This window comes from Homo sapiens, chromosome 20 (genome assembly GCF_000001405.40).
Source record: "Homo sapiens chromosome 20, GRCh38.p14 Primary Assembly".
Lineage (NCBI taxonomy): Eukaryota > Metazoa > Chordata > Mammalia > Primates > Hominidae > Homo > Homo sapiens.
In genome coordinates this window covers 22,660,686-22,666,876 of record NC_000020.11, presented here as the reverse complement: position 1 = coordinate 22,666,876, position 6,191 = coordinate 22,660,686, and the positions used below count along the sequence as shown (strand labels likewise).

The window sequence follows — 6,191 nt, the reverse complement described above, 5'->3', positions numbered from 1 at the left end:
GGCGTGAGCCACCGTACCCGGCCATGTTAATGGCAATTCTAATGAAGGCTCAGAAGAACAGGATAGCTGTAGGGGGGAGTCTGGAACTTCTTAGAGATTACTTACGTGTTTGTGACCAGAACATTGGTCAAAATATGGAAGGTAAAGGCCATTCTGATGAGGACTCAGATGGAACTGAGGAACAAAGTATTGGAAACTGAAGTAAAAGAAAATCCTTGTTGCAAAGTAGCAAAAGCCCTGGCTGAATTGTATACTGGCCCGAGGGTTTTGTGCAATGCAAAACTTAAAGAGTACTAAACTAGGATATCTGGCAAAAAAAAAAAAAAAAAAAAAAAAAAAAAATCTAAGAAGTAAAGCATTCAAGCAGCTGTGTGGCTACTTTTAACTGCATATTGTAAGAGGGAAGTGAAGAAAACTTATTTAAAAACAGAATTTATAATTAAAAGGCAAGTAAAATGAGAAATATAGAAAATTTTCAGCCATGTAAATAGTGTAAAGGTATCTTCAGGAGAACAAACCGAGGGTGTGGTCAATGATTGTTTGCTAAAGAGATTATCATGGATAGAATGGAGGGAAGTGCTATTCATCAACACAATAGGAGAAAGACCCCAAAGGCATTTCAGACATCTTTGAGGCTCGCCCTCCCATCACAGGCCCAGAGCTCTAGGCAGGCAGAGTGGTTTCAGGAGATGAACCTGGGGCACCTTTCTGGGCCTCACTGCCCATGGTCACCTGGAGACTCTGCTCCTCACATTCCAGCACAGCACTCCTTGACATCTCAAGCCATGTTTCAAGTGGTCCCAGGTGTGACTCGACTAGATGCTCCAAAAGATACCAGTAGTAAACTCTGGCAGCATCCATGTGGCGTTAATTCTGCAGGCTCATAGAACGCAGGAGCTATGGAACCACAGCTTCCTCCACCTACATTTTAAAGAATGCCATGGGCTGCTTGGGGACCCAGGCAGAGACCTGCTGCAGAGGCAGAGCCATCCACTAGGGTAATGCCAAGTGGAGCCACGGAAGTGGGGCTACCTGAAAAACCCCAGAAGCATAGGGCCACCAGCATACAACTCTAGCTTAGAAATGCTGCAGGCATGAGATTCCCACCCAGCAAAGCCATAGAGGTCAGGCTGCCCAAGGTCTTGGGGACCTAACCCTCACCCCAGTGTACACAGAATGTAGGTCGTGGAATCATAGGAGATTTTTCTCAAACTTTAACACTTAAAGTTGTTTTCACTGTTGGGTTTTAAATTTACTTGAGACCAGTTGCTCCTTTCTTCTTGCCATTTCTCCCTCTTGAAATGAGAGCGTCTAACCTATGCCTGTCCCATTATTGTATTTTAGAAGCAGATAACTTGTTTTAATTTTACAGGCTCATAGTTGGAGGGAAATTTGCCCAAAGACTAACCATGCCTTGAGCCTCACACATTGCTGATGTGGATGAGGCTTTGGAGTTTGGACTTTTGAGTCAATGATGGAACACTTAGGACTTTAGGGGCTATTGGGATGAAACGAATGTATTTTGTATGTAAGAAAGCCATGAGTTTTGGGGGGCCAGGGATGGAATACTATGGCTGAATATCCGAAACTCATGTTGAAACGTAATTGCCATTGCAAAGGTATTAAAAACGGGAACCCTTAAGAGGTGATTACCTCATGAGGGTTCTGCCTTCATTAACGAATTAATGTCATTAGCTTGGGGGAGTAGGTTAGTTGTTGTGAGAGTGGGCTCCTGCTAAAAGGATAAGTTCGACTGAGCATGGTGTCTCATGCCTGTGATCCCAGCACTTTGGGAGGTAGAGGCAGGAGGATTTCTTGAGACCAGGAGTTTGAGGCTGCAGTGACTTGTGATGGTGCTACTGCACTCCAGACTGGGCAATAGAGTGAGACCTCATCTTAAAAAAAAAGTTTGGCCTCCATTTTTTCTCTTTATCTTGTGTTCTCAATTGCCACGTGAAGCCTTCCACCATGGGACGACCCTCACCAGGTGCCAGCACTATGCTCTTGGACTTCCCGGTCTCCAGAATTATGAACCAAATAAACTTCTACTTTTTATAAATTACCCAGTCCATGATATTCCATCAACATAGCAGAAAACAAACTGAGAAAGATGCTTAGATGCTAATTTATACCACATGGTAGCCTGTGAAAAGGTGTGTGAAAATGAAAATAATATCATGAGCTACAGTCATTAGAAAAGTGCATGGAGAAAATATGACAAGCTGGGCTTCAAAGAGTGGATAATTTGTGGGTATTTTGGAGCAGAAATCAGTGATCAGGGACGTAAGGATATGTTGTGTGTTAGCCTGGCAGCACAAAGATTTCTCCTGAGACTCCTTTAAAAAATGTGTAATTCAAGTTTGATAAGCCTGCTGTGCACAGCACTGAGTTAGGCATCAGGAGCCAGCAGCAGGCAAACCAGACCTGGGTCTCCTCTCATGGACTGCACACATACAAGCAGTGCAGGAAGACACTGACTTTGCCTAGGCCCAGACATTGGGGAGACTTTCCTGAAGATGTGACATACATGTAACCGGCAGGCTACATAGGTGTCCCTGAGGAGATCAGGTTCATTTCATTCTCGGATAATAGGGAGCTATAGCAGGTTCTTGAAAATCAAAATGGCACAATGTAGAAGAGTTTACATTTTGTTCTTAAGAAGTGTGTCTGGTGAAGGGGAGAAAAGGCAAAAGCAGGAATCTTCAAATGTATCTTAAATTGCTCACTAAGGAAATTAGGGAAGGCACCTTGAATGTTAAGAGAACCAGTCACTGCTTTAATGCAGTCGAAAAAGCCGTTAGACACTCCCCTTCTTGAAGTCTCTTGAAGAGACTCAGAGTTCAGAGTTCAGCCAACCTCCCTGAAAAGTCAGTGGAAGTCCTTTTTTTCTGGAAGGAGTAGGTCCCAGGTGTGACGCTCTGAAAAGTCTCCAGCCAGGTCTGGCTTTGAAATCGGGCAGCTGAGAGGAAATCTGCATCTCCATGGCACACCGAGCAGCATGGAACCTGGACACTTCCTGAGGGGCTGAATACACATCCCCAGCCTGGTGTCTCTCCCTTCAGAAGGACTGTTTGCCCACCTGAGCCCAGCCAGGCCACCCATTACCCACTGCTTCACAGGAGGAACTGAGGACAGCTGCGCTCAAAGTGAAGCCAGGAAGCTCCTCTCAGTCCCTCCAGGGGGCTTTGCATCACAAGGGGGACATTATTTCCTTGACTAGGAAGGCTGTGTTTGTCTGAGACCCCAGGGAGCTGATGAGGTGATACTCTGGGGACCTCAGTGCTTCTGGGCTGTGCTGCAGGGCTGCCTGAGGATGGCCAAAGCTCAGCAAGGCAACACTAAGGGACCCGGCCTGGCCACAGGGGAATAAAGCTGCTGTTGGTAGGAAATCTGCTGTTGTAGCCTGCTGATTCCTCGTAAAAGGTACAAATTAGAGGTCTGCTCCCAACACCAAAGCCAGAGGCAGTTCATATGCTAGGAGCTGTTCCCCTAGAAAATCATGTCTTTCTTTTCCAAGGAGATGGACATGCTGCCTGTTGGAGTGCAGCAGGAATGCAGCAGCTTGGGGTGTCCTGGTGTTGGGAATAGGTCCTTTGCACACGGCTCTGTTCCTCCCTAATCAGAGGTGATGGGGAGGGAGGATTTGCCTGTTTTGAAATCAATCTAGAAATTGTCAACAACAGAGAAGAAACTAGAGAAAGGACACTCGCCCAGATGACTTAAAACAAGACAAGATCACAAACACCACAGGCAGGCTGCACTTTATGCACTGAGATGGGAAAGTGACAGAAGTCAGACACAATGTGAGGGTGTCGCCAACAGTAAACATGGGAGTTTCATAGGGAGTACAACGTAATGGTGAAAGGAGGAGGCGGGTGGGGGCTGCAGGCTTGCTCTGGATGGGCAGCCACTCACTGGAGCTGAGGGGACAGCACTCTCCTGGCCCCGCTCCTGTACTAACTGGTCTAAGAAGCCTGTACTTCCGAGCCATGCTCTGCGGAGATCCTCAGATCACAATCCTGGGAGCTGCCATGTACAAGCTGACCTCGGCTCTCACTTTAAAGCGAAAATAAGCCAGGCACAAAAGGACAACTGTCACATCTTCTCACTTATACGTGAGAGCTAAAAAATTTAAACGCGTGCAAGTTGAGAGTGGAAAAACAGATGACAGACTGGGAAGGGCAAGTGCGGGGAAGGAGAGGATGCAGAGGAGAGAGATAAAGGGTACGAACATACAGGAAGATAGGAAGAAGACACTCAATGTCTGATACCAGAGTAGGATGACTACACTTAGAAAATATATTGTGGCCAGGCACGGTGGCTCACATCTGTAATCCCAACAGTTTGGGAGGCCGAGGCAGGCAGATCATTTGAGGTCAGGATTTCAAGACCAACCTGACCAACATGGTGAAACATCGTCTCTACTAAAAGTACAAAAAAATTAGCCGGGCATGGTGATGCATGCCTATAGTCCCAGCTACTCAGGAGACTGAGGAAGGAGAATTGCTTGAACCCAGGAGGCAGAGATTGCAGTGAGCGGAGATCGCGCCATTGCACTCCAGCCTGGGTGACAAAGATACTCAGCTTCAAAAAAAAAAAAAAAATATATATATATATATATATATATAGAGAGAGAGAGAGAGAGAGAGACCCTAAATACCCTGACTTGATCACTATGCATTACATACCTTGTAAAAAAATTCTCATGTACTCCATAAATTTACACAAAAAAAAACAAAAAAAGAAAAATAAATAAATAAATGAAATGAGCTCCACATTCCAGATGTGCAACATCTGTATCATAACATGTTCTTCTCAGACAGCATCTCAAACACCTGCACTTCTAAAAAGCAAGGCCAGCATTGATTTTGCTTTCCACACTGACTCATATACACCAGTACCCCAATAACCATTTTCTAATCAAATAAATTAATATGATTTTTTTAATAAAGACCTAAATTTCAGCTTCCACAATAATAAGGGCAAGTGAAATGTTAGCAAATTCTCGGAAACTTTTTCTCAATTGGTTCTAGCTTCTGGGGCTTTGGTCTCTCTCATTTGAGTCCTAGGCAGCCATGGTGCCCTTCTTACAGATTCTCTAATGGGCCAAAATGCTTGGCTGTTAGTTAGTTAGGACTAGTTGTCAGGACCAGGCGTGTAGCATGTGTGATATCTGTAGCAGGCACTCAGGAAGCACCCGTTGATTGATACTAGTATTTGGCCTTCTCTTAGAGTCTGGGCATGCCAGTTGTTTCAGCAGGAACTGCTCCCCCTGAATGCTGCGGCCCAGCCTCTGAATGCTGTGGCTGAATAGAGTCATAGCTTTGCCAGGCCTGGTGGCTTTTAGCAAAAGGGATGCAAAAGTGTATTTCTGTCTAGCTTTAATAACTCTCTGGCTTCAAGAATTTCTGTTCAGGCCGGGCGTGGTGGCTCACGCCTGTAATCCCAGCACTTTGGGAGGCTGAGGCAGGTGGATCATTTGAGGTCAGGAGTTTGAGACTAGCCAGGCTGACATGGCGAAAACCCATCTCTACTGAAAATACAAAAATTAGCCAGGCATGGTGGCGGGGGCCTGTAATCTCAGCTACTTGGGAGGCTTAGGCAGGAGAATTGCTTGAACCCAGGAGGCAGAGTTTACAGTGAGCTGAGATCGTGCCACTGTATTACAGCCTAGGCGACAAAAGCAAATCTCTGTCTCAAAAAAAAAAAAAAAAGAATTTCAGTTCAAAGAAAACTATAAAGAGTTTTTACCACATGTCTTATGTCTTTCTGGCAAGTTTTTTTAATCAGGTAAAATTATCTTTCTGGCAAATTTGGGAAAATCTGATGTCACCGAATGCCTCTTGAAATCCAGTGAGCCTTATTTCTCAAACTCCTGCCCTCCAGTGATCCACTCACCTTGGCCTCCCAAAGTGCTGGGATTATAGGCATGAACCACTGTGCCTGGCCACCGAGTCTTTTTACTTATTTATTTGTTTTCTTTTTTTTGAGACAGATTCTCACTCTGTCGCCCAGGCTAGAGTGCATTGGCACGATCTCTGCTCACTGCGACCTCCGCCTTCCGGGTTCAAGCAATTCTCTGCCTTACCCTCCCGAGTAGCTGGGACTACAGGTGTGCACAACCACGCCCTGCTAATTTTTATATTTTTAGTAGAGACAGAGTTTCACCATGTTGGCCAGGCTGGTCTCGA

At 45.5% G+C, this 6,191-nt stretch overlaps 1 annotated feature.

The window, feature by feature from the left end:
• Positions 2,691–3,684: an enhancer, noted in NCBI's record as "OCT4-NANOG-H3K27ac-H3K4me1 hESC enhancer chr20:22643831-22644824 (GRCh37/hg19 assembly coordinates)". NCBI's record gives its function as "activates a minimal SCP1, AML or CMV promoter by ChIP-STARR-seq in primed H9 embryonic stem cells {active_cell/tissue: H9 hESC(primed)}" and the evidence as "EXISTENCE:reporter gene assay evidence [ECO:0000049][PMID:30033119]".